Genomic DNA, 27,297 nt, shown 5'->3' on the forward strand with positions numbered 1-27,297 from the left:
CAATTCACAATTACAAAAATATAGAACCAGCCCAAATGCCCATCAATCAGAAAGTGAATAGAGAAATTGTGGCATATATATACAAAGGAATACTACTCAGCCATAAAAAGGAATGACTTAATGGCATTCACAGCAACCTGGATGGAACTAGAGACTATTATTCTAAGTGAAGTAACTCAGGAATGGAAAACCAAACACTGTATGTTCTCACTCATAAGTGGGAGCTAAGCTATGAGGATGCAAAGGCATCAGAATGATACAATGGACTTTGGGGACTTGAGGGAAAGGGTGGGAGGGGGTGAGGGATAAAAGACTACAAATTGGGTTCAGTGTACACTGCTCGGGTGATGGGTGCACCAAAATCTCAGAAATCACCATTAAAGAACTTACTCATGTCACCAAATACCACCTGTTCCCCTAAAATCTATGGGAATAAAAAATTAAGAAAATAAATAAAATTTTAAAAGGAAGGTCATCCCTACACTTCAAGTTATAAAATAATTCTACCGTAAAAAAAAAAAAACACACACACACACAACAACAACAAAGTCCTGTTGCGTACCTCTGAGAGGTGTTTTGTGGCTTGGACTAGCATACTGGCAGTGCAGATGCTGAGAAGTGGTTGGCCTAACAGGACTTGCTGACAGATCAGGGATGATGAGAGAAAGAGCAGAATCAGGGCGGGTGCAGTGGCTCACGCCTGTAATCCCAGCACTTTGGGAGGCTGAGGTGGGCGGATCACAAGGTCAGGAGTTCAGGACCAGCCTGGCCAACATGGTGAAACCCCATCTCTACTAAAAATACAAAAAATTAGCCAGGCCCAGCTACTCAGGAGGTTGGGGCAGAAGAATTGCTTGAACCCGGGAGGCGGAGGTTGCAGTGAGCCAAGATTGCACCACTGCACTCCAGCCTGGATGACGAGAATGAGACTCCGTATCAAAAAAAAAAAAGAGGCCGGGCGCGGTGGCTCACGCCTGTAATCCCAGCACTTTGGGAGGCCGAGGCGGGTGGATCATGAGGTCAGGAGATCGAGACCATCCTGGCTAACAAGGTGAAACCCCGTCTCTACTAAAAATACAAAAAATTAGCCGGGCGCGGTGGCGGGCGCCTGTAGTCCCAGCTACTCGGGAGGCTGAGGCAGGAGAATGGCGTGAACCCGGGAAGCGGAGCTTGCAGTGAGCCGAGATCGCGCCACTGCAGTCCGCAGTCCGGCCTGGGCGACAGAGCGAGACTCCGTCTCAAAAAAAAAAAAAAAAAGAAAGAGCAGAATCAAGGATGACTCCTAGAATTTTGGACTGAGTAACTGGGTGGATGTTGATATTGTTTACTGAAATAGAGACAACATGAGGAATAGGTTTGAAGGGGGAAAAAAATCAAGACTGGGACTTGTTAAATTTGAGACACTTATGAGCAACTCAAGTAAATGCTGACGAGGCCATCAAATCTGGAGCTCAAGAGAGAGGTTTGAAATGCAGAAACAGGGTTGTAGCCATCAGCAGGCAGACATATCATCATTCAGAGTCATGAACATGCAGAAATAATGGAAATGCCTCTTAATTAAATGAAGGCATAGACATACAACGAAATGTTATGTGATTACTAAAAATGATGGTAGAAAAACATTATCCAGAAGTTATCTTTATCTGTAGATGACAGATTTATGGACAATTTTTACTTTTCATCTTTGCATATTTTCTGAAAATTTTTTGTCCATTGAACATGTATTACTTTTATAATAAGAAAATGCAGGCTGGGCACAGTGGCTCACGACTGTAATCCCAGCACTTTGGGAGGCCAAGGCAGGAAGATCACTTGAGGCCAGCAGTTTGAGGCCAGCCTGGGCAACATAGTGAAATCCCATTTCTGCAAAAAATATTTTAAAAATTAGCCAGGCGTCGTGACATGTGCCTGTAGTCTTAGCTATCTTGGAGGCTGAGGTAGGTGGAATACTTGAAACTGGAGGTGGAGGCTGTAGTGAGCTGTGACATCACTGCACTCCAGCCTGAGCAACAGAGCAAGAGCCTGTCTCAAAACAAAAACAAAAACAAAAAAGAAAATGCAAGTTAAGTTATTTTCATTTTAGGGAAAAGTGAAGATATACGTCTATTTTTATGGACATGGATATTTACAACATTTTGTTGAGGAAAGGTAGCAAGTTACAAAAGTACATATATGATCTCATTCATCTAAAACAACATGTGGGCCAGGCACAGAGGTGCACACTTGTAATCCCGGCACTTTGGGAGGCCGAGGCGGAAGGATCGTTTGAGCAAAGGAGTTTGAGACCAGTCTGGGCAACATGGTGAAACTCCGTCTCTACAAAAAAAATACAAAAATTAGCTGGGCATGGTAGCGGACACCTGTAGTCCCACCTACTTGGGAGGCTGATTGGGAGGATCACTTGCACCCAAGAGGTCGAAGCTGTAGTGAGCTGTGATTGCACCACTGTGCTCCAGCTTGGGCGACAGACCTTGTCTCAAAACAACAACAACATGTGTACGTGCTTACAGGCAAATAAGAAAGACTCTAGAAGGATGTTTAAAATGCCAACAGCAGGCCCAGCGTGGTGGCTCATGCCTGTAATCCTAGCACTTTGGGAGGCCGAGGTGGGCAGATCACAAGGTCAAGAGATGAAGACCATCCTGGCCAACATGGCGAAACCCTATCTCTACTAAAAATACAAAAATTAGCTGGGCATGGTGGCGCGCACCTGTAGTCCCAGCTAGTCAGGAGGCTGAGGCGGGAGAATCGCTTGAACCAGGGAGGCAGAGGTTGCAGTGAGCTGAGATCGCACCACTGCACTCCAGCCTGGCGACAGTGTGACTCTGTCTCAAAATAAATAAATAAATAAATAAATAAGTAAGTAATAAAATAAAATGCCAACAGCAAAAGTAACTTTTAGGCTATTATGCACCAACAAATTTATGTGATATCGAGAAGTGTTAAACAGTTTTAGTTGCATTACACTTTGCATAATATACACAAAACACTAAACATGTTAATAAATGTTTGATATAATAAGATGACCTAAGTTTAAGTGTAATTTTGACTCCTTTTACTGTACCTGTGTTTTCCCCCACTAACTGACTAGTCAAGTGCTGACTGGTTTTTAAGAGATGGGGTCTTGCTCTGTTGCCCAGGCTGGCCTCAAACTCCTGGGCTCAAGTGATTTTCCCACCTCAGCCTCCCAAGTAGGTGGAACTACAGGTGTGCATCACCATACCCGGCTTAACGTCTGTTTTTATATTTGTAGCCACATGGTACAAAGTACAGAACAGGTGTTCTTAACCTTTTTCTGCCATGGACCCTTTTGGCCTTCTGGACCCCTCCTCAGAAGAATGTTTTGAAATGTGTAAAATGCACAGAAATTAACAACATATTTCAAGAGTTCGTTCTCAAATAATATGTGCTTCTTCAGTAAATCATTAAATAACCAGATCTAGAGATGGGTCTAATAATTACCTTAAGTTTGAAGCAGTGATGGACATATATATTTCAAAATATCTGTAACAACTATAATATGATATGAAAGTATCTTTGATCTCTACTGGTGACAGTCACTGCTATTCTAATACTACCATGATCTGTTGCTTACAATTGTCATTGAAGAAAATGTGGATTTTTTTTTTTTTTTTTGAGACAGAGTCTCGCTCTGTCGCCCAGGCTGGAGTGCAATGGTGTGATCTTGGCTCACTGCAACCTCTACCTTCCGGGTTCAAGTGATTCTCCTGCCTCAGCCTCCGGAGTAGCTGGGATTACAGGCGCCCACCACCATGCCCGGCTGATTTTTGTATTTTTAGTAGAGACAGGATTTCACCATGTTGGTCAGGCTGGTCTCAAACTCCTGACCTCAGGTGATCTGCCTGCCTCAGCCTCTCAAAGTGCTGGGATTACAGGCATGAGCCACCACACCCGGCTGGATTTTTTTTTTTTTTAAAAGACAGGGTCTTGCTATGTTGCCCAGGCTGGTCTCAAACTCCTGGGCTCAAGTGATCTGCCCTCCACGGGCTTCCAAAGCACTGGGATTACAGGCACGAGCCACCATGCCCAGCTAAAAATCTGGGTTTTCAGAGACATTAGTGAAAATAAAGAGTGAATGTTTTTCCCATCCAAGGTCACAGACCCGGCTGAATTCTCAACCAAAGTTGGAGGCCTTGGTCTAGAAAGATACATACCAAATATTAACAGCAGTTTTTTTTTTTTTTGGATAGTGGAATCGCCAGAGTGATTCTATTTTGTTTTATGATATTTTTGTAGAGATAGGGTCTCAATATGTTGCTCAGGCTGGTCTTGAACTCCTGGGCTCAAAAGATCCTCCCACCTTGGCCTCCCAAAGTGCTGGGATTACAGGCGTGAGCCATGGCATGCCTGGCCTAATTTTTTATCTTTGTACCTATACGCATTTTCAAAGTTTTGTACAATGATGTTTTACAATTAAAATTTATAAGAGCTTAATAAATACTATGTATTTGTTTGTCTTAAACAACCTGGAAGGATGACTAGGAAATTTTATACAACTGACTACAGATGTTCAACCTTCTATAACTACTTAAGTGTTATGATGACTCTAATCATTCCCATGTTCTTACAAGCCAAGAAAAAAACTCACTAGAATTATTTATTCTGGAGTTAAAAAGAACAAAAAAACAAACTGTCACAACTGCAGACATTTGTCTATTTTTTTGCCAAGTGTAATTCCAAAAACAGCTGAAAATATTAGAACAAATTAGTACTTAATATGGACTAATACCTTCTGCTGTTTACAAAAACACAAAACCCGGAAGTACACAGAAACTTGTATTTTAAAAATAAGTTATTGTGTGTAGAAAGACTTAAAATACAACTTATCTAAGTAATGCCAAAACTTACATACCACCAGACAAAGTGCTTTAATGCTTTATTTTTATTTTTTTGAGACAGAGTCTCGCTCTGTCACCTAGGCTAGAGTGCAGTGGCTCGATCTCTGCTCACTGCAACCTCCACCTCCTGGGTTCAAGCAATTCTCCTGCCTCAGCCTCCCGAGTAGCTGGGATTACAGGCGCCCGCCACCATGCCCGGCTAATTTTTGTATTTTTAGTGGAGATGGGGTTTCACTATATTGGCTAGGCTGGTCTTGAACTCCTGACCTCAAGTGATCTACCCGCCTCGGCCTTCTAAAGTGCTAGGAATATAGGCGTGAGCCACCACACCCGGCCGAAAATGCTTTAATGTTTTAAAAAATGAGTCATACATAGAAAGTAAGCACATGCTTGAAAGTGCTCATGTTCAAGTTTTAGCAGCAATGTGGAATGTTGCAAAAGAGACAGGGACACAGGGAAATGTGCATATCTCAGAAGCCTACTTTGCTTTCTTTCAAATCTAAAAATAAAACCTTTGGACTGCCCTATTAATAAGTCTAGAAAATGGATGCTTTTTTTGTGGAAAGCTTTCGCAAACATGGAAATAAAAATATCTTCTTCTCGGTTAACAGGACTAAAGGATGTAAACATAAACCAGATGCCAATCCTTGTTTCTCTACAATCCCCTTCTCCCTCATGGCTCTGGACAGGCTTCTATTGTAAAACTATTTCTATGGCACAAGGAGACATATCAAATGAATGAACATTGGTCTGCACGGAGCAGTACAGACCAGGTTCAAAAGTCAAATGTTGAGTGAAAAGAGTAAGTTGTAGGATGTTCCACATAGTAGGATATCATCCAGTAAATTTGCAAAACACTTTATTCCATGTTGTCATGTGTAATACAACAAAAACCTTGCATGGGGAGTATCTCGGTGACCTTTAGGGAGCAGGCTACCTTGGGGAAGCAGGGCAGACAAAGAGTGCAACCACAGGGCTGGGAATTCAGCTGAATCTGTCCTATTTGAGTTCCATAGTAAGAGGGCTGACAGGAATACGACCAACTGATAACATTTCCTAAGTCTGGGTGAAAAGTACCCAAACAGCTACTACTTGAGCTGAGCGTAGAAGCCAGGAAGGAAGAGGGCGGGGGAAGACAGGACCTTAGAATGACGCCAGGAAGAATGGTGGAAGAGCTGACAGCATGGAGGAAGAGCTGGGAACAGCGCTTAGGGCCCACCTCCTGAGCCCAGGCTTGGGGAGTTACAGCAGTGCTGTCCACAGGGGCTCATCAGAGTGGACCTGGTACTTGACAAGACAGGAGTCAGCTTGCTCACACACTGCTTCCTTTACCATCAAAGTCTTATGTAAAAATAAAAAATAAAAAATCAGTAGAACTAAGCAGCGTACTTTGTACCACAGCTGACTCCCATTCCATGTAAGCTCCTGACCTTCTCACAGCCCAGCACTTTCGTGCATTAGACAATGAACTGTGCTGGAGAAGATGATGCCTGTTCCCATGAGTCTCCCAGGTCTCCTGGGACAGAAGTGAAGGGAAAGAAGGGTCCATGAAGAGACCTGGAGTGGAGTGGGAGCCCCAGGGGCCCAGTGGATAGGGTGGGGTGGAAAAGGACAGCATAGATGGGCAGAGCACCTCACGCTGCCTTCTGGGGCCCAGGGAACATCTAAGAGTGTGACGGGGCCTGGAAAGAAAGCCGAGCCTGGCCGGGCGTGGGGGCTCTCACCTGTAATCCCAGCACTCTGGGAGGCCGAGACGGGTAGATCACCTAAGGTCAGGAGTTTGAGGCCAACATGGTGAAACTCCGTCTCTACTAAAAATACAAAAATTAACCGGGCATGGTGGCGGGTGCCTGTAATCCTAGCTGCTTGGGAGGCTAAGGCAGAAGAATTGCTTGAACCCTGGAAGTGGGGGTTGCAGTGAGCCGAGATCATGCCATTGCACTCCAGCCTGGGTGACAGAGAAAGACGTCTCAAAAAAAAAAAAAAAAAAAAAGAAAGAAAAAAGAAAAAAAGAAAAATGCTCCTCTCCACATGTCCTGGCTGGTTGTTCATGCCTCGTCTTCACACAGTGGACTCTCTGAATGGGCCTGAGAGATTCTCTCCTGTCAGAGCCTCTACACATGCTGGTCCTTCCAAAAGACTCATGCATCTCTCCCCACTGATGCTTTGTCCTTGACCTAGCTAATGTTTCCTTGCTGTTCAGGTCTTAGATGCCATTTTTCAAAGAAGTCTCCTCCCTGACCTACCTCCCAATTCTTGGTAGGATCTCCTCTGATTTTTATGTGCTCCCTTAGTGGCTGGAACTTCTCTCCATCACAGAAGTTAGCCTCTTGTAAAGTCATAGCCCATTTGCCTGTCTGTACCTCCCATTAGACCAGAAGACTGCTGAGGGTAGGATAGTTTCCAGCAGCTAGCACAGTAACTGACACATAATAAATGCTCAATTAGTACAGCTTAAAAAAGTACTGCTATATAAAGAGTTCAACAGTCACAGAACAACAAAGCAACCACAGCCTGTTCCTGAATACTTCTAGGACACCTCTTATGCATATTACAGCATGAGGAGGCAGAAGGTCCAGCAGCAGAGGGAGATTCTCCAACCCCGAGTACCAAGGAACTACCACAACCTAGAATGGTCCCAAAATAAAAATGCTCCACTTTCTTCAAGGTTCACAAACAAGAACTGGGCAAGTTCCCCTTGTCGAGTAAAAAGGTCCTTCCCTCACATGCCCTACTCAGATGAGGTCACTTTTGATGAAATGGAAGTTTCCAAAGTTTTGCTTTCTAGTGCTAACTGCTAAAAACTTCTTCCTAGCCTAACAGCTCTGTGATCTCTACAAACAGTATTGCAGTGATAAATTCGTATGCTTATCTACTTACACGCAACTTTTTCTCTAATGGTCTGCAAATAAAAGGCTACTCTTGTCGGGCTCCATGGCTCATGGTTGTAATCTCGGCACTTTGGGAGGCCAAGGCAGGAGGATTACTCAAGCCCAAGGAGTTCAAGACCAGCCTGGGCAACACAGTGAAACCCCGTGTCTACCAAAAATAAAAATAAAAATAAAAATAAAAAATTTAGCCAGGCATGGCGGCACATCCCTGTAGTCCCAGCTACAAGAGAGCCTGAGGTGGGAGGATCACATCAGCCCCGGAGTTCAAGGCTGCAGTAAGCTATGATCATGCTGTTGCACTCCAGTCTGGGTGATGGAGTGGGATCCTGTCTCTAAAAAAACATTAAAAAAAATAAGTAAAAAATTTAAAAACTGGTTAAATAAATTGTGGTACATCCATAACAGACTATTTAAACCCAACCCTTAAAAGGAATGATACGGCTCTGTATGAACCGATTCTAAATAATCTACAGGATACATTAAAATAAACAAATGTGCACAATATTTTATAGTATGTGTAAAAACACAACGCCCACATACCCTTGTGTATTTATACACACATGTAAAATATATACACAAACCTAAACACACAAAAATATGTCCAATAGAGACAAAGAGTAGAATAGTAGTTGCCAGAGGGTGGGGTGGGGGAAAGGGGAGAAGTGGGAGTTAGTGTTTAATAGGTATGAAATTTCAGTTTTGCAAGACGAAAGGTTGTAGAGATGGATGGTAGTAATGGCTGTACAACAATGTGAATGTACTCAGTGCCACTGAACTGTACAGTTAAGATGATTAAAACTGTAAATTGTTATATATATCGATATATATTTTTTGAGACGGAGTCTCGGTCTGTCGCCCAGGCTGGAGTGCAGTGACGCGATCTCGGCTCACTGCAAGCTCCGCCTCCTGGGTTCACGCCATTCTCCTGCCTCAGGCTCTCAGAGTAGCTGGGACTACAGGCGCCCGCCACCATGCCCGGCTAATTTTTTGTATTTTTAGTAAAGACGAGGTTTCACCGTGCTCGCCAGGATGGTCTCGATCTCCTGACCTCGTGATCAGCCTGCCTCGGCCTCCCAAAGTGCTGGGATTACAGGCGTGAGCCACCACGCCCAGCCTGTTATATATATTTTATAATAAAAATTTAACACACGGGTACACACACGCTTTTTTTTTTGAGATGGAGTCTCATTCTGTTGCCAGGCTGGAGTGCAGCGGCGTGATCTCAGTTCACTGCAACCTCTGCCTCCCAGGTTCAAGCGATTCTCCTGCCTCAGCCTCCCGAGTAGCTGGGACTACAGGTGCCCGCCACCATGCCCGGCTAATTTTTTGTATTTTTAGTAGAGATGGGGTTTTACCATGTTGGCCAAGATGGTCTCGATCTCTTGACCTCATGATCCACCCACCTCCACCTCCCAAAGTGCTAGGATTACAGGCGTGAGCCACCGTGCCCGGCCACAATTTTTTTTTTTTTTTAAAGAAACAGGTAATAGTGGCTGCCTCCAGGGAAAGAAATGAATGTTTGGGGCAGGGTAGCAGAGATACTTTACAATATAACTCTTTTTTTTTTTTTTTTGAGACGGAGTTCCGCTCTTGTCGTCCAGGCTGGAGTGCAACGGCATGATCTTGGCTCACTGCAACCTCTGCCTCCCAGGTTCAGGCGATTCTCCTGCCTCAGCTTCCCAAGTAGCTGGGACTACAGGCACGCACCACCACGCTTGGCTAATTTTTGTATTTTTAGTGGAGACGGAGTTTCACCATGTTGGCCAGGCTAGTCTCGAATTCCTGACCTCAAGTGATCAAGCTGCCTCAGCCTCCCAAACTGCTGGGATTACAGGCATGAGCCACCATGCCCAGCCCCATATAACTTTTTTCTATTATTATTTTTCTGAGATGGAGTCTCACTCTGTCGCCCAGGCTGGAGTGCAATGGCACGATCTTGGCTCACTGCAACCTCTGCCTCCTGGGTTCAAACGATTCTTCTGCCTCAGCCTCCCGAGTAGCTGGATTACAGGTGCATACCACCAAGCCCAGCTAATTTTTGTATTTTTAGTAGAAATGATGTTTCGTCATGTTGGCTAGGCTGGTCTCGAACTCCTGACCTCAGGTGATCCACCCACCTCGGCCTCCCAAAGTACTGGGATTGCAGGCGTGAGTCACTGTGCCCAGCCCCGTATAACTTTTTACACCACCTTTTTAATTCCGTATTGTCCATCTAACTATTCAAAAAATCATTTAAAAAACCCCGGCCTTATACAAGAAGTCTTTTCCTTAATCGTGTCATTTATTCTATCCCTCTTCCTTTAAGTAAAAAATATTTTCAATCAAAATCAGAATTCGACTTCAGCTTTGAGGGTATTTATTAGATTCAAATAATGCAATTTATAAAAATTACACTTGCTACCCTAAAAATATATTCACTAAAAGCCTTTTCTTTTTTTCTTTTTTCTTTTTTTTTTTTTTTAAAGAGACAGTGTCTTACTCTAAAGAACGAGGCTGCCCAGGCTAGAGTACAGGAGTACAGTGGTGTGATGATGGCTCACTGTAGCCTAAAACTCCTGGGCTCATGGGATCCTCTCACCTCATCCTCCCGAGTAGCTGGGACTACAGGCATGAGCCACCATGCCTGGCCCCTCTATTTTTATCAGGTGTTACAGAAAAGCTTCAAAATCATCATGGAAGAAAATTATCATTTTTACCAGTACAAAACTTTTATTGCATCCCAACCAAGCTAAGATGAATACAGAATTGTTTCAACAGAAGTTACCATTATCATAATTCAAGACAAAAATCAGCCGGCAATTACATGAGTTGGAAAACAAACTACTCTTATGTCACAGTCTACCCTAAAGCTCCAACTTATGTCAGAATTTAAAATACACACACATATACACAACCCTGTGGATTCCTCCTCATTTATGTAAAACCTACTTTTGTGATGATCTGCTATTTTCTTGAGTCTTCTGGAATGAACACTGTAGCCCCACTCCCGGATAAGGAGAAGATACCACTTCCAGGGCTTAGCACTGCCCCTGGCTTGAAGCAGATACTCAAATATTTGTTGGGTGAATGAATGATTGTCTGCTGATAGGGCTGCCCATCAAGCCTCATAAAGAAAAAATTCAGAAAAAAGCAACTTTATAGAGAAAATAGGAAAAAGTTTAAGAGATATTTTGCTCACTTGAAGAAATCAGCATTTGTTAAAGGTGAAGACTGGATTGACTGGTTCATCAAGTGGCTTAGACACAACTGACTAAGTGGGCTATACCTTATCCCACCCCAAAGTTAAATACAAAACAGGTATTTTTTTTTTTAATCACAGGAAAAACACAGGGCAACTTAACTATAAAATTATTATTTTTATTTTTTATTTTTGAGACAGAGCCTCACTCTATCGCCCAGGCAGGAGTGCAGTGGCGTGATCTTGGCTCACCGAAACTTCTGCCTCCTGGGTTCAAGCGATTCTCCTGCCTCAGTCACCCCAGTAGTTGAGATTACAGGTGCCCGCCACCACGCCTGGCTAATTTTTGTATTTTTAGTAGAGACGGGATTTCACCATCTTGGCCAGGCTGGTCTTGAACTCTTGACCTCAGGTGATCCACCCGCCTCAGCCTCCCAAAGTGCTGGGATTACAGGCATGAGCCACCGCATCTGGCCCTTTTGTATGTATTAAATACGTATGTATGAATATAATACATCATCAGGTTTTTTAGGAAGAAAATATAGATGACTATTGATCTGTTGTTAAGAGTAGGAAAGGATTTCCTGGCGGGGCGCGGTGGCTCACGCCTGTAATCCCAGCACTTTGGGAGGCAGAGACGGGCGGATCACAAGGTCAGGAGATCGAGACCAGCCTGGCTAACATGGTGAAACCCTGTCTCACAAATACAAAAAAATTAGCCAGGCGTGGTGGCGGGCGCCTGTAGTCCCAGCTACTCGGGAGGCTGAGGCAGGAGAATGGAATGAACCCGGGAGATGGAGCTTGCAGTGAGCCAAGATCACGCCATTGCACTCCAACCTGGGCGACAGAGCGAGACTCCGTCTCAAAAAAAAAAAAAAAAAAAAAAAAAAGAGTAAAAAAGGATTTCCTAAGTATGAAAGCAAAAGAATAAATCATAACATAAATTTTATATATCAGAAAGACAAGAATCAAGACGTAAGACAAAACAGGAAAATATCTGCATGACAAAGAGTTAACATCTTTAATACATTAAGAGCTATGACAATGATTATTGAGGTTTAGCCTCAGTAATAATCCAAGCGGCACCAATTTAAAAGATGTATATCCAATTCTGGGACGATATGGGAAAATGGCACTTTCTCAGACTGTTGTGGGAACTGGGATAGCCATTTTGGACAGTGATGTGGTGGTATCCACCAGAAATTCCAAGTCTAGGCAGCCATTCTTCAAAATGACTGGCACATGAGGAATTTCAATCCTGTAGCATTTTTAATAACATAGAGAGACAACGAAATGCATGACGGTAAGTCAGCCCTGGACTACACTGCTATTTAAAAGAAATGAGGCAGAGATGAATATATGAGATGGAAAAATGCAGAATATGTATATATAACACCATCCTGAGGCCAGGCACGGTGGCTCACGCCTGTAATCCCAGCACTTTGGGAGGCCAAGGCAGGTGGATCGCCTGAGGTCAGGAGTTCGACACCAGCCTGGCCAACATGGTGAAACCCATCTCTACTAAAAATACAAAAATTAGCTGGGTGTGGTGGCAGGCGCCTGTAATCCCAGCTACTCAGGAGGCTGAGGCAGGAGAATCACTTGAACCCAGGAGGTGGAGGTTGCAGTGAGCCAAGATTGTGCCACTGTACTCCAGCCTGGATGACAGAGCAAGACTCCATCTCAAAAAAAGAAAAAACAAAACAAAACAAAAACCCTCCTGTTAATTACAACACAAAAAGTACACAGTTTAGTCTTAGAAGACTTAGAAGGATCTACATTAAGCTATTAACAGCAGTTATTCTGGGTAGTGGGAGCAGAGATTAAGCGGGGAGCTTTCATTTTTTTACCTGATACTTTTTTTTTTTTTTTTTTTTGAGACCGAGTCTCACTCTGTCACCCAGGCAGGAGTTCAGTGGTGTGATCTTGGCTCACTGCAACCTCCGCCTCCCAGGTTCAAGTGATTCTCCTGCCTCAGCCTTCCGAGTAGCTGGGACTACACGCTCAAGCCACCATGGCCAGCTAATTTTTGTATTTTTAATAGAGATGGGGTTTCGCCGTGTTAGCCAGGCTGGTCTCGAACTCCTGACTTCAGGTGATCCACCCGCCTAGGCCTCCCAAAGCGCTGTGATTACAGGCATGAGCCACCTTGCCCAGCCACCTGATCAATTTTTAAGTGGTTTGATTTTTCTATAAATCCATGTATTATTTTAGTAATTCTTTAAAAAGTAAAAGAAGAAAAATAGATATCAAGCATTTATCTACTAAAGACGGGTACTGTCCTTTGAGAATTCCCTCAAAAGTTCTTTGAAGCTCAAATGGCTACATCTTTCCCATTCATAAGATACTTTTTAAATTTCCTCTTTCTACATTTCTTTTTAAAAGTTTATTTTCAATTAGCTTCCTCAGGTTGAACTCTCTGTACATTTCTTAGGAGAAACTGTATGGTGTCAACACTGCCTGTTTTATAACATCCATTCGTAATCTGTAATCTGAGAAAAAGACTCGTAAAAACCCAAACCACCCTCCAGGCCTAACATCTTCCAGAAGAAACCCATTCACTGCCCATATTACATTTAGTCCACACAATTTCTGAGACAAAGCACAAAGCACTAGCCATACAACTCCCACCAGCATAAATACGTGGAGTACAAAGAATGTCCTGTCAGCTGGGCCCAGAGCACACCCCACAGCAGTAAAAGAGAATGACAATTTGAGTCACAGGATCAGGAGCAGAATCAAATTTGGGACTTGAGGCAGTGTGATGCTCTTCTGGTCTTCCGCTTCCTTCCACACCTTCTATTCTCCTTCAGCCAAACCTTGCCCTCACATAATCCCTAAGCAGGCTATTTCTTATGGATGTCTACAACAGCTTCACACTGAGGTGTCAGAAACCACTAGAGAGACAACAAAGAACGACTTAGGGTCTCAGTCGGAATCACAATGGCCGCATAAGTGAAAACTCACATTTTTGCTTAGGGGAAAAAAAATGGGAAAATTCAATTGGAACATTCTGCTTTACCACACAGAAGTTCTGAAATCCACATGTCAAAACATCAAATGCGGAGTGACCACTAATCAAAAAGACAAAACAAAACAACAACAACAACAACAACAACAAACAGCTTGAGATGTTGAGCCTGAAGGTTGAGAAATTAAGGAACCATTCATTTTTACAAAACTAAAGTCCACACAATGGTGCCAAGTAGTTCAAACTGCAGCTGATACAGCACCTGAGTGTCAGACCTAGAATGACTGGGGCCCCCAGGTTTTTACAAAGTACTCATCCTCCTCTAGAGTCCCAAGAACCAGATGTATATCTGGGTACTCTCTTTAGTTACCATGGGAGGAGTGTAGCAAGCACATGACATTAGCCATGGCCCCCGGTGTTCTGAGACAGCTTTCAGGAGGGTGTCCTTCTAGGGAACCAACCACATACCAGTTCCCATATCTGAAAATGCATTACCACTGCTCACTAATGTTGACCACTAAGCCATTTACCCCAAACCAAAGCAAACACATGCTGAAGACCGCTAAGGCAACAGCAGCAGCGCAAAAGGGCTCAGTGCAAGCGCTCTCAGCTCAGCTGACCTGCTTCAAGGTGAACTGAAGTTGCAGATCACCAGTTCCGGCTCTAATCTGACGCCCGCCCCCAGATCACGCTGTGGCGACCAAGTAACCCTACACACACTGACCTTTCAGGGCTCAGGGAAGTGACTTTTTTTTATTATATGGCACAGTTTGGCACAGTTATGTCTTTAGTCTTTGGGGTACTTTTATACTGTCCAAGAGTAGTATATTTTTTTCCTCTTTTCCTTTTTTTTTTTTTTTTAAAAAAAAAAAAAACAGATGGCCAAACCAGGACATATACTAAAAAAAAAAAAAGGAAGGTTACTTACCTGAGCCCTAACATCCCAGCTACCATGGAATCCTGTTGGAGCTGGTCTACAGAAGCAAGGTGTATTCTGGGGAGTCACATGTCACATCAAAGCAGGAACTGGTGAGTCTGTATTTTTATGGAGCCTAAAACAAAGAAAATTGTAAGTTGAAAGCCCCCATTGAGCTGCACGACCTTTTTCCCAGGGCTATTTGGGACATTTTGAAGATAAACACATAGACAAAGTACTAGGCTATTTCCCAGCTTACCTAGCTAGAAACAAAGGATAAGCTGCAAATTACTGGCACGTAACACACAGTGCTAAAATAAAGGAAAGATTCATGCTTGTTAGAATCAACACTATCACAAGCCTTGTCACCTCTAGGGGACACTTCGACACTACAAAAGCATACCATGAGTGGCGATTTCTGGCAAGTATTTCTTCTACCACGGCACACAGAAATTCTCAGGGAAGAATACATGTTCAAGAGAATACGCAACATCAAAATACCATCCCTGAAAGAACACATGGAACCTAGAGGCAGTCTCCCTTCTTTTTCAAGCAGCTGAATGAAGTTGCAATAAGCTGCTGTAACAACATCACATAAAGGGGCTTTAATCCTGAGAGAAAAAATCAGCACCAAGGGAAACCAAGTGCTCTGGGAGACCCAAAGCCATCATCCAAAACATGCAAGTCTATTTCAGGGCAATCAGTTTTAAGCCTCTCAGATCAGTCAATCTCGATGTTCAACAAACTCAGTTATTAGTTTGATAGTTTCTCTTTTTCTTTTGAACACATGTTCAAAAAAGGACTTTTGTCAGTACCTTTTTTGTCATTAAGATAACCATCATTTCCTAGTTAAAGCCTAAACTGCCCCATATGAATTAGCTAATTTCTGATACTATGCTGGCCCAAGAGTAGCACTTTTATAAGCTAAAAACGAAAGCTCAGAGCATACAACTTAGAGACTATTCACACAATTACTCATGTAATCAAACCCAGAAGAAGGGCAACACCAACCAAGTCTTTTACTGGTCTGTTGCTGCTCTACAGCTACCAGGATGGTACCTAAAATTATCTTTTGAGGTTCAGTGAGGCCTCATAATTCCCTTAAACAGTCAAGTCATAGAATACTTTGAAATCCCAGAAGTCAAGTTAATAGTATTACTCGGCTAGCTATATAATAAAAACCAAACTGGTATCCTGGCTAGGAGGCCCTGGAAAAGTCACAACTTCTCAGGGACACAAGTTTTTTTTGTTTGTAAACTGATGGTGCTGGACTAAGAATCCTTCTAGTTCTTAAAGTTTAAGATAATTAACTTAAGATTTCATGTCAAAAAGAAAAGAGCCAGAGGCTGGGTGCGGTGGCTCACGCCTGTAATCCCTGCACTTTGGGAGGCTGAAGCGGGTGGATCACGAGGTCAGGAGTTCAAGACCAGCGTGGCCAAGATGGTGAAACCCCGTCTCGACTAAAAAAAAAAAAAAAAAAAAAAAAAAATACAAAAATTAGCCAGGCGTGGTGGCAGGTGCCTGTAATCCCAGCTACTTGGGAGGCTGAGGCAGAGAACTGCTTGAGCCCGGGAGGCAGAGGTTGCAGTGAGCTGAGATCGTGCCACTGCACTCCAGCATGGGTGACAGAGTGAGACTGTCTCAAAAAAAAAAAAAAAAAAAGAAAGAAAGAAAAGAGAAAATGAGAGCAGTTTATGAAATCTAAAAAAGAAAGTTAATATATATATAAAACACCCCTAGCTCTTGGGCTAGGAAGACAAGTGCATCCTTACTAAGGCTTGGTCCTGTCAACTTCAGAGGCAATAATGAGAGCCCAGACTACAGTGTCTACAGTAACTGCAAAACAGCCACACAGCACAGCGGGAACACATTCACACGCCAGGAGACCCAGCATACATGTGCTTGAAGAAGTTATAAGACTCAGGCTTTATTCTCTAACGAAATGGTCATTCCCCCTTTGATGTGGGGGTGGGGGTGGGGATGCCCTGCCCACCCCCCAATTCCGGCTCCCACTCAGTTATCCCACATACCATACATACCATCAAAGTATTTAAGCAATGGCATGCAAAGCAAGCTTTCGACAGGTTTCTTGCAAGAGAAAGGCAGAAGAGAACAGGTAAAAGCAGAAGAGCACACAGGTAAAAGCAGAAGAGCACAACTTCTACTTAAGCCCAAAGAAGAGGGACCTGTTCACATCTTGTCCTACCCGGAATGATGCACACGCACAGGGGCTTGCCGGGACAGCAGTAGTTTCACTGGAAAGGGCTGGTATGGAGGCACCGAGGACAAGGTCCTTCCATCGCAGCGGTGATAATGCTCTACCCAAGAAAAAAAGATTGCGTCTGCCAGCCACGCAAGACTGGTCTGCAAGGATGTCACCATAGCAGAGGGCAGGGAAAACAAGCAGGTGTCCTGCCACACTCTTTGGGACTGGCCAGTCTAGGAGTGTGCTTTACCCCACGCACTGAAAACACTGGTTACTAGAAATATCAAACATTTCCTGTGATTCTCTCCTCCAAGATAACTCGGGCAGCTTGAGAACAAGCTGCTCTTAGCTAATTAAAAGATTTCTGCTGATATTAACCTTTATAAAAGATTTCAGGTTCCAGGACACGTCATTTATCATGCAGAGTCCCAAGCAGGTACATTAGCAATGGAAACCAGGCTCCAATAAGGAACTAACAATTTTATCTCTGTTGTTCTTTATTTTAGGTTAAAGAAATGAACTTCTCGTTTCATCTCCACATGGGAGGAATGTTCTGGAGGGGGTAACAGCCTATTAAACTCATCTAGCTTTTTTTTTTTTTTTTCAAACTCCACAGCTTGCCTCCCTACCCTACTAGACTAGATTGCACAGAGGCAGGGCAGGCACGGGAAACGACTCTGGTTGGAAATTACAAACATATACACACAGAATGCAAGCACCATAACCCTTTGAATACACAGTGGTTTGTGCCTTGCCCCAGACCTACCTAAGGATTTAAACAGCACAGAAGTCGGAGTTCGGCTGACTGCATGACACTCTCCTATCAATCGGGTGAAACAAAGACCCAGTACTCTAAGCTTAAAGCATTCCAGGCAAAATTTTAGTTAACAGGCAATAGGAAGGTGTGATAGGCCAGTGCTAACAAGAAAGCCACAGATGGGTTTCTTTGAGCTGTTAAGACACTGGAAAGGGCTGGTATGGAAGCCCAGTGGAGCCATTAGGACAATGGAAAAGGAGGTACCCCTCCACCAGGCACTTTGCAGAGAAAACTATACTCTGGAAGCTGCCTGCACTGTTGATAGGGCTAGACGTATGATAAACAGCTAACCGGAGGGGCACCCGAGGAGACAAACTGCCAACTATGAAGAACAAAGCAGAGACCTCAACTTGTCACGTCTCAAGCTCAGATGTACAAACTTTGGGATCGTCAAGTGAGGCTCGTGTGTATGCCTGGGGATATGACTGTATTCCAGTGATCAGCCACCTAGCTGACCTGCCACGAATGGGTGACCTGTGGTGACTTACTTTAATCAACTGTAGTACTTCTAGATTGATTGGGTGATTTAAGGTTCTGACATATTCAGGCAAGAAAATAAAAGCAAGTGTTTCCTAGACTTCCTCATTGGGATTTGAAATAGAAATCCTGAAAAGCCCATAAAAGCCTATTTCCCTAAATCCTTGGTGGAAATTCCCAAAAGATTAAAAAATCCAGACCCTGTCTTATTATAGGGACCCAGCAGATTTCAAAAGACTCAAGAGGTCAGCTTAATCTGGTTATTAACTGAAATTGCTGAGATACTGATGAACATTCCAGCCATGGAACCCAAAATTCTCTAGAGTAATAATTACCTATTAGTGCAATGTTACTACTGAGGCCGTATATGCTTCATTTTTACAGTATAACAAAATGTCTAAAACTTATGAGAGTCCTACAACGTCTAGGCCACTCAGTATCACATCCAAGTAGGTATGGTTCCTGGATCACCAACCAACCCCTGAATTCGATCCTGTTATCTCACAGTCTGGGGTACTGATCCCGCACAGCAGAGACACAACGTGTGAAAGGCTCGGCAGAGCCCATTCCTGTTCCTGGAAAAATAACCAGAAGCACACATCTGCCTGACCATGAGTCAGGAATATCAATTTTGTGGTGGAGCCCATTTCTGCTGTGACCAACCCACACCCGAACACACTCGCAACAGAAGCAACCGCCACAGAGCAATTCCAGAATGAGCTTTTTCCCCCTCGGGGTCCATACTTAGCAATGTCATAAACGGTCTCCCCTGCGACAGCAATCCTTTTACACTCTTCATAATGACCTTAAGTCTTTAGTGCAAAACCACAGAAACATTGCCACTGCCATATAAAAGTCATCTGAGTTTCAGTTTGGGTGATTCGGTCATGACCAAACTGAACAGAGGATAACCTTTCAGGCACAATTAACAGGAGCCACAGCGTCGCGATGAACTTGCCCCATCTGGTACCGGTGATCCCGAGCGCTCCAGGGCGATGAGAGCCCGTTACCTACTATGTCCCACTCCACTTATGTAACTGGAAGATCGCCGGCGAAGGGGAGGGTAGGATGGGAGGGTGCTCACATTCCGAGGCCACAGCACTCCAAAGAACCTCTGAGCACCCTGGGGACACGCTCGCACCTTAGAGCCTCTGGCGCCGAAGAGCCTCGGGTGCTGCTGGACGCACAGTCCCCTACCCACGGCTCCTGATGGGAACTATAACCACCTCTTTATGATGAGTTGTGGGACCCAGAACACAATGTCTAGTCCCTTTTGTGGATAATAATCCCCACCTACTTGTTCCTGCTAGATGGGGAAAGGAGCCGGTGGACCTACTCGCTCGCGGGGGGGTAGCGGGGGGCAGAAATTCATGGAATGGGCGAGAAGGAGGGGGAGGCAAAGCCCAGAGATGGGGGTGAGAGCTCAGGAGCCCTTGTGGCGCACTCTCCCGACGGGAGGCGAAGTGCGCACGCGCGCCGGTGGGGGGGCCGAGTAACGGGAGAGGGGGCGCGCGAGGGAGGGAGGGGGAGAGCGCGATCCAGGGAGAGGCCGGGGCCGCGGGCGCGCGACGGCGCCGCGGCCCAAAGCCCCGAGAAGGGCAGGAGCGCGCGCAGCCCCGACAGGCGAAGCCCCGGCGACAGGGGCGCCCGCGGGGCCGGGGGCCGGGATGCGCGTCGAGGGCGGGAGGAAGAGGGGCGTCAGGCGAAGGCGGCTCCAGGGAGGCCGCGCCGAGGACGGTCACCCGCGAGCAGGGGTGACGGGCCGAGGGGAGAGTCGCCACCGGCGGCGGCGGGAGGGGGAGGGTAGAGAGGAGGGACGCCATCCGCCAGCCGTGTCGTCCGACCCCGCGGGCCCCTCCCGCGCCACGTCCCGCCCCTGACCCCCGCCCCCCGGCAAGGGTCCCCGCCCGCGGCCACGGCGGTCCCACTCACAGTCTCTCCTCCTCGCCTCCTCCTCCTCCTCCGCTCGGCGCGGCGGCGGCGGCGGCGGCCATTTTCCGGACGGCTTTTACCACAGCCCTCTCTCCGAGAGGAGGGAGCGCGCGCGCCGCCGACGCCGGGACCCCGCACGGCCGACGTCGCGCCCCGCCCTCTTGGCCGGCCCGCGCGCTGCTGCACCTGCGCGCCCGCGCCCCGCCCTCGGCGCCGCTGCGAGCCCGCCCGTCATTGGCTGTGATGGCCGGGCTGGGACGGGGAGGACGGGGGAGGGGGGAGTCTCAGCGGCGATGCCGTCAATTGGCGAGATTTCCTGTCCATTTCGGCCAGGGAAAAGGGGGCGGACCCCTCCAGCTGTTGATTGGCTGCTTTCGGCCGTCGTTTGGGGAAAAGAGGCGGCTTGGGCGCGGAGGGACTGGTTTAGTGGGCGGAATTTGAATGTTAAGGATTAATGGACCCTTGCGGATGCTGGGGCAAGTGAAGGCCTAGGCTTGGGACGCCTGTTTGCGCTGCTCTGAGGGGCGATTGACCCTCTGTCCACAGATGCACCGAGTGCGCTGCAATAAGCGTTTCATTGCACCCACATTTTCTCAATATCACTATCTTCGGCAGAAGCAGCAAAGTTGCCCACCCTGGAGCCTGACGTTGCCCCAGCTGAGGGGCCTTGGTTTCAGAGGCCTACTCAATGCATTATTTCATCCGAGCCTGCCCAGTGCTCACACTCTCATAGAGGCGGGGAATAAACTGACAACAAATCGCAACCCTGGCTTTCGCAGAACTCTGGCGGGGGAAGAGAGTGCATGCCAAGGCCTCGTGACACCTGTCACTGTTGGATCAGATGGTTTGGTGGAGGTGTGAATAAGGGGCAATGTTAGCTCTGCCTGGAAGATATGATTTGGGAGCTGAGATCCAGCAATTTTTCACTTTCCTAGAAGAGTTGATTTGGAGCTGAGATCCAGCAATTGTGTTTTGGGAAAATAAGAGTATGAGAAAACTGTTAGCTAACCAGGTGTTCAGGACAGGAGTGTTTGTTAAGGGGACCTTACCCTGATGCCAGTCATTATCCAATCCATTCAATGATCCTTCTGTTAGTTCTATGCTTAGCAAGAAAACCTGATTCTGATTTGGCTGCTTGCCCCCATTCATTTATTGACTACCTGCTATGTGCCAGGCACTCTTCCAGGCTCTGGATGCACGGTACTGAACAGACAGCAAACTAACATTCTTGCCGGGAAGATTCATACTAGCATACAAATAAGTATAATATATCATTTCACATAGTGATAAGGGCTTTGAGAAAGATAAACTAAGTGAAGGGGGTGCTATTTAGATATCTGCTGGTTTTCACCCTCATTTTACTCCCTCATATGAATATCTGGGGAAAGAACATTCCAGGCAAGTTCAAAGGACATGAGGAGAGACTATGCCTGGCATGTTGGGGACTAACGAGGAAGTCAGTGTTGCTGGAGAGTGGTAGGGAATGTGATTGGAAAGGCAGCTGGGGCCACTATGAGAACTGGGAGTTCATTCTTTTTTGGGGGGGGTGGGGATGGGGTCTCATTCTGTCACCCAGGCTGCAGTGCAGTGGCGCAATCTTGGCTCACTGCAACGTCCACCCTGAGCTCAAGCGATCCTCCCTCCTCAGCGTCCTAAGTAGCTGGGACCACAGATGCGAACCACCACGCCTGGCTAAGTTTTTGTATTTTTGATAGAGATGGGAGTTCACCATGTTGCCCAGGCTGGTCTCAAACTCCTGAGTTCAAGTGATCCGCCCGCCTCGGACTCCCAAAGTGCTGGGACTACAGGCGTAAGCCACCGCACCCGGCCAGAACCGAGAGTTTATTCTAAGATGAGAAGCCCTCAGAGGATTTTGAGCCAGGAGCTGTCTGATCTATGTTGCAGGTGTAGAGTGGAGAACTGGACGTGATGAAACAAAACTACAGCACAAGGCTAGTTGCAAGGCCCTGGAACAGTCTAGGAGAAAGAGTTGATGGTAGCTTTAACTAGGGTGGCAGCAGTGCAGCTCTGAGAAGTTGTGAGATTCAAGATATGTTTTCAGAACTGAACAAAAGGATTGGATGTAGGGCATAGAGCAAGGGAAGAAACAAGGATGATTCCTGAGATTGGGGCCTGAGCAACTGGGGAAATAAGGGTGCTTTTCACCATAGTGGGGAGAACTACAGGAAAAGTACATTTTCAGAGGTGCAGATCAAGAGTTCTGCTTTGGCTGTATTAAGCTTGGGGTGCCCAGTGGTGTGAAAGTGGAGATGTTGAGTAAGCCATTGGGTGTGCGATGCTGAAGTATAGAGATGCGGCTAAAGCAGTCCAAAAGTCATCACGCTGAACATCCAATTCAAGAAGCCATAAAGAAATGACAGAGTAAGCCTGCAAAAGTAGAAGAAAGAAAAATAAGGATGAATAAAACTTAATGAAATAGAAACAAATGATGGAGAGGATTGAGAAAATTTTAAACCTGCTTCTTTGAAAAGCTGAAAAACAAAAGCCAACCCTCTAACAAGCTGGATATAAAGAGAAAAGAGAAAAGTAAATTATGTTACTCATGAAAAGGTTTTATTATGCACTGTGTGTCAGTAAATTTGAAAACATAAGCAAAAGGAATACATTCCTAGGAAAGTACAGCTTACCAAAACCGACTTTAGAAACAGAAAATCCCTGTAACCACAATGAAATTGACTATGTATTTAAAAAGCTACCCATCCTCCTACACACAGACACAGACACGCAGACACACACAGACACACACGCACACAGAGAGAGAGAGAGAGAGAGAGAGAGAAACAGACCAAGAGGGCTTTATGGATGACTTCTACCAAATCTTTAATGAGTAGGCAATTCCAATCATACACAGAAAAGAAATAAATGTCTCCAAACTTATTTTACTAGACTAATATATCTACTATGATGAGCCAAGAAAAGTATGACACAAGATGTGGAAATAAGTTTTAAAATTCTAGACAAATAAACTGAATCCTGCAGTATATGATCTATCACAACCGAGTTGAGTTTTATCCTAAGAATGCAAATATGGTTTAAAATTAGAAACCCAACCTTAACAAACTTAAGGGGAAAAACACTACATAATTATTTCAATAGATGCAGAAAAAGCATTTGATAAAATTCAACATCTACTTATGATTTTTTTTAAAAATCAGAGAACTGGAGTTCAAGACAAGCCTGGGCAACATAGCAAGAAGCAAGACCCCGTCTTTACAAAAAAAATTTAAAAATTAGACAGACGTGGTGGCACACACCTGTAGTCCCAGCTCCCTGGAAAGCTGAGGTGGAAGGATCACTTGAGCCCAGGAGTTTGAGGCTGCAGTGAGCTATGATTGCACATTGCACTCTAGCCTGGGCAACAAAGCAAGACCCTGTCTTTAAAAAAAAAAAAAAAAAAAAAAAGGTGACCAGGCACGACGGCTCACGCCTGTAATCTCAGCACTTTGGGAGGCCGAGGCAGGCGGATCACGAGATCAGGGGATTGAGATGATCCTGGCTAAAATGGTGAAACCCCATCTCTACTAAAAATACAAAAAAAAATTAGCCGGGCGTGGTGGCACGCACCTGTAGTCCCAGCTACTCTGGAGGCTGAGGCAGGAGAATCGCTTGAACCTGGGAGGTGGAGGTTGCAGTAAGCCGAGATCGTGCCATTGCACTACAGCCTGGGTGACAGAGCGAGACTCCATCTCGAAATAGATGGATGGATGGATGGATGGATGGATGGATGGATAGATAGATAGATAGATAGATAGATAGACAGACAGACAGACAGACAGATAGATAGATAGATAAAATAAAAGGTTAGGAGAGGGCAAAAAACCTGAATAGACATTTCTCAAAAGAAAACATTTAAATGACCAACAGGTATATGGGAAAAATCTCGCCAGGCACCTTGGCTCACACCTGTAATCCCAGCACTTTGGTAGGCCGAGGTGGGAAGATCACTTGAGTCCAGGAGTTCAAGGCCAGCCTGGTTAACATGGCAAGACCACTGTCTCTAAAAAAACAAAAAATTAGCCAGGCATGGTTGTGCACACTTGTCATCTCAGCTTCTTGGGAGGCTGGGGTGGGAGGATCACTTGAGCCCAGGAGTTTGAGGCTGCAATGAGCCAGGATCGTGCCATTGCACTTTGGCCTGGGTGACAGAGTGAGACCCTGTCTCGAAAAAAGAAAGAGAAGGAAGGGAGGGAGGGAGGGAGGGGAAAAAAAGTTCAACATCACTCATCATCAGGGAAATTCAAATCAAAAGCCCAATGAGATACCCCTTCAATTCAGTTAGAATGGCTTTAATCAAAAAGACAAAAGAAGACAAGTTGGCAAAGATGTGGAGAAAAGGGAATACTTTCATACTGTTGGTGGGGTAGTAAGTTAGTATAGTCAACTATGGAGAACAGTATGGAGGTTTCTCAATAAATTGAAAATAGAACTACCAGCAATCCTACTACCGGTATATATCCAAAGGAAATGAAATCAGTATGTGGAAGAGTTATCTGCACTCCCATTTTTATTGAATGACTATTCACAATAGCCAGATACAGAATCAACTTAGGTGTCCACCAACAGGTGAATGGATAAAGAAAATGTGGTACATATATGCAATGGAATAATATTCGGCCATAAAAAAGAATGAAATCCTGTCACTTAAGACAACATGAATGAACCTGGAGGACATAAAGTTAAGGGAAATAAACCAGAAACAGAAAGACAAATACCACATGATCTCAGTCATATGTGGAATCTCAAAAACAAAAAAGAGTTGATATCATAGAAGCAGAGAGTAGAACAGTAGTTACCAGAGACTGGGGAGAGGATCGGGGAGAGGAGGATGGGCAGAGGTTGGTCAACAGGTACAAAGTTATTATTAGATAAGATGAATAAATTCTGGTGTTTTGACCAGGTGCAGTGGCTCACGCTTGTAATCCCAGCACTTTGGGAGACTGAGGTGGGTGACTCACTTGAGGTCAGGAGCTTGAGTGCAGCCTGGCCAACATGGTGAAACCCCATTTCTACTAAAAATACAAAAATTAGCTGGGCATGGCGGCGGGTGCCTATAGTCCCAGCTGCTTGGGAGGCTGAGGCAGGAGAATCGCTCGAACCCAGGAGGCAGAGCAACCTGGTGAGCTGAGATCACACCACTGCACTCCAGCCTGGGTGACACAGCGAGATTCTGTCTCAAAAAAAAAAATTATGTTGTTCTATTGCACAGCAGGGTGACTATGGTTGACAGCAATATATTGTATGTTACAAAATACCTAGAAGAGAGACTTTTGAAAGTTCCCACAACAAAGAAATGGTACATGCATGAGCTGATGGATATATTAACTACCCTGCTTGGACCATTGTGCAACATAAATATATATTGAAATATCAAATTGTACTCCCTAAATATGTGTCAATTAAAAAACAAAAATAAAAAGCCCCACATACATCCTTCTTCCATTCTCTTTTAAACCTCATTCTTGGTGCGTCTCTGCGGGGAGAAAGGCCCATTTCAAGTCAGTTCCCCGGTGTTAGGATGCAGGCATGTAAACACGACCAGTAATAAAAAGCTGGAAAATGTAATGAGGGAAAAAAGATTCAACTCACTCTCACTACAAAAATTATAAAACAGCTGGGAATAAACTTAATAAGAAATGTCAAAACCTGCATCAAAAAGCTATAAAACTTTACTGAAAAATCTAAAAGAAGACCTGAAGAAAACAAAAACAAAAACAGACGCTACCGTATTCCTGGAGGGGAAGCATTAACATTATAGAAATGTTAATTCTTCATCAATAACTCTGGAAATTCTTTGCTCAATCAAAAGTCAAGAAGTTTCATGGGCTATAACAACTTAAATCTAGATTGGAAAGAATAATGTACAAGACTAGAACTCAAGAAGTTTTTGAAATATTAAAAAATAATGAAGAGAATCTTGCTAAATTCCTTAGGTTGAATAGAAGGAACTTAAGTTATACAGTTTCACACTTGCCATTGAAAAGTAGAAAAATATACTATAATCGGCTGGGCATGGTGGCTCACGTCTGTAATCCCAGCACTTTGAGAGGCCGAGGCGGGCAGATCACGAGGTCAGGAGATCGAGACCATTCTGGCTAACAAGGTGAAACCCCGTCTCTACTAAAAATACAAAAAATTAGCCGGGTGTGGTGGTGGGCGCCTGTAGTCCCAGCTACTTGGGAGGATGAGGCAGGAGAATGGGGTGAACCCAGGAGGCGGAGCTTGCAGTGAGCCGAGATCGTGCCACTGCACTCCAGCCCGGGTAACAGAGCAAGACTCCATCTCAAAAAAAAGAAAAAAAAGAAAAATATACTATAATCAAAATTATTTACTATTAGAATTAAAAATCAGTAATTTAAAAAATGGGACTGTAATAGTTTAAGGTCCTCTTAAAAACAGGACTGTAGAAGATAAAAACCAGGAAAATCTAGTATAGATGGTAATTGACAGAAAGCCCACAACCAGAAGGATTTTATCAATATGACAAACAACACAAACTTTTACTCCATTTGTCTAAAAATCTCTTAAACTGATAGAGAATATATATATTTCAGAAGAGCTAATCCAGGCCAGGGGCGCTGGCTCATGCCTGTAATCCCAGCACTTTGGGAGGCCAAGGCAGGAGGATCGCTTGAGCCCAGGAGTTCGAGATCAGCCTGGGCAACAAAGTGAGACCCCGTTTTTCCCAAAAATGAAATAAATTAGCTGGGCACGTGCGCACCTGTAGTCCTAGCTACTCAACAGGCTGAGGTGGGATCATGCCACTGCACTCCAGCCTGGGAGAAAGAGCAAGCCCCTGTCTCTAAAAACAAAAGAAATGACCAACATTGAGAGCCCTACATATTAAAACCTAGGAGATAAGGCTACAGAGGTCACCTAGAAAAATTAATAGCCTTAACCATATTTGTTAGAAAATAGATAAGAAATGAATAAATTCTGATATAAGACACCATGAGCAGGCACAGATGTGCATGAACACACACACACCCAGACACACAGACACACACACACAGTCACATACACAGACACACA

General features: G+C 44.8%; 1 protein-coding gene across 16 annotated transcripts in view, besides 6 other annotated features; it reads right to left on the reverse strand.

Annotated features, from left to right (window-relative positions):
* Positions 1-20,361, reverse strand: part of MECP2 (methyl-CpG binding protein 2) — a 76,145-nt gene extending 55,784 nt beyond the window's left edge. For 6 of the 16 annotated variants that reach the window (NM_001386138.1, NM_004992.4, NM_001386137.1 and 3 more), the window contains exons 1-2: positions 20,248-20,361; positions 14,828-14,951 (exon numbers count right to left, since the gene is read on the reverse strand). Coding sequence is in view for 4 of the 16 variants with exons in the window: in NM_004992.4 (NP_004983.1) it covers positions 14,828-14,853 (26 nt within the window). In the remaining 12 variants the exon portion in view is untranslated. Of the gene's footprint in view, positions 1-14,827; positions 16,194-17,021; positions 19,426-19,456; positions 19,614-20,247 lie in introns of those variants that run through there. The other 10 variants (XM_047442120.1, XM_047442119.1, XM_047442118.1 and 7 more) reach the window with 5 other exon arrangements.
* Positions 19,377-19,466: an enhancer, noted in NCBI's record as "active region_30053". NCBI's record gives its function as "activates an Ori minimal core promoter by ATAC-STARR-seq in GM12878 lymphoblastoid cells {active_cell/tissue: GM12878}" and the evidence as "EXISTENCE:reporter gene assay evidence [ECO:0000049][PMID:35858748]".
* Positions 19,787-19,866: a silencer, noted in NCBI's record as "silent region_21083". NCBI's record gives its function as "represses an Ori minimal core promoter by ATAC-STARR-seq in GM12878 lymphoblastoid cells {active_cell/tissue: GM12878}" and the evidence as "EXISTENCE:reporter gene assay evidence [ECO:0000049][PMID:35858748]".
* Positions 19,927-19,986: a silencer, noted in NCBI's record as "silent region_21084". NCBI's record gives its function as "represses an Ori minimal core promoter by ATAC-STARR-seq in GM12878 lymphoblastoid cells {active_cell/tissue: GM12878}" and the evidence as "EXISTENCE:reporter gene assay evidence [ECO:0000049][PMID:35858748]".
* Positions 19,927-20,201: a biological region, named in NCBI's record as "ReSE screen-validated silencer GRCh37_chrX:153362776-153363014".
* Positions 19,963-20,201: a silencer, noted in NCBI's record as "fragment chrX:153362776-153363014 (GRCh37/hg19 assembly coordinates)". NCBI's record gives its function as "represses an EF-1alpha promoter that drives an FKBP-Casp9 reporter gene in an ReSE screen in K562 erythroleukemia cells {active_cell/tissue: K562}" and the evidence as "EXISTENCE:reporter gene assay evidence [ECO:0000049][PMID:32094911]".
* Positions 20,287-20,646: a silencer, noted in NCBI's record as "silent region_21085". NCBI's record gives its function as "represses an Ori minimal core promoter by ATAC-STARR-seq in GM12878 lymphoblastoid cells {active_cell/tissue: GM12878}" and the evidence as "EXISTENCE:reporter gene assay evidence [ECO:0000049][PMID:35858748]".

The sequence above is a fragment of the Homo sapiens genome, chromosome X, assembly GCF_000001405.40.
Source record: "Homo sapiens chromosome X, GRCh38.p14 Primary Assembly".
NCBI classification, from domain to species: Eukaryota; Metazoa; Chordata; class Mammalia; order Primates; family Hominidae; genus Homo; species Homo sapiens.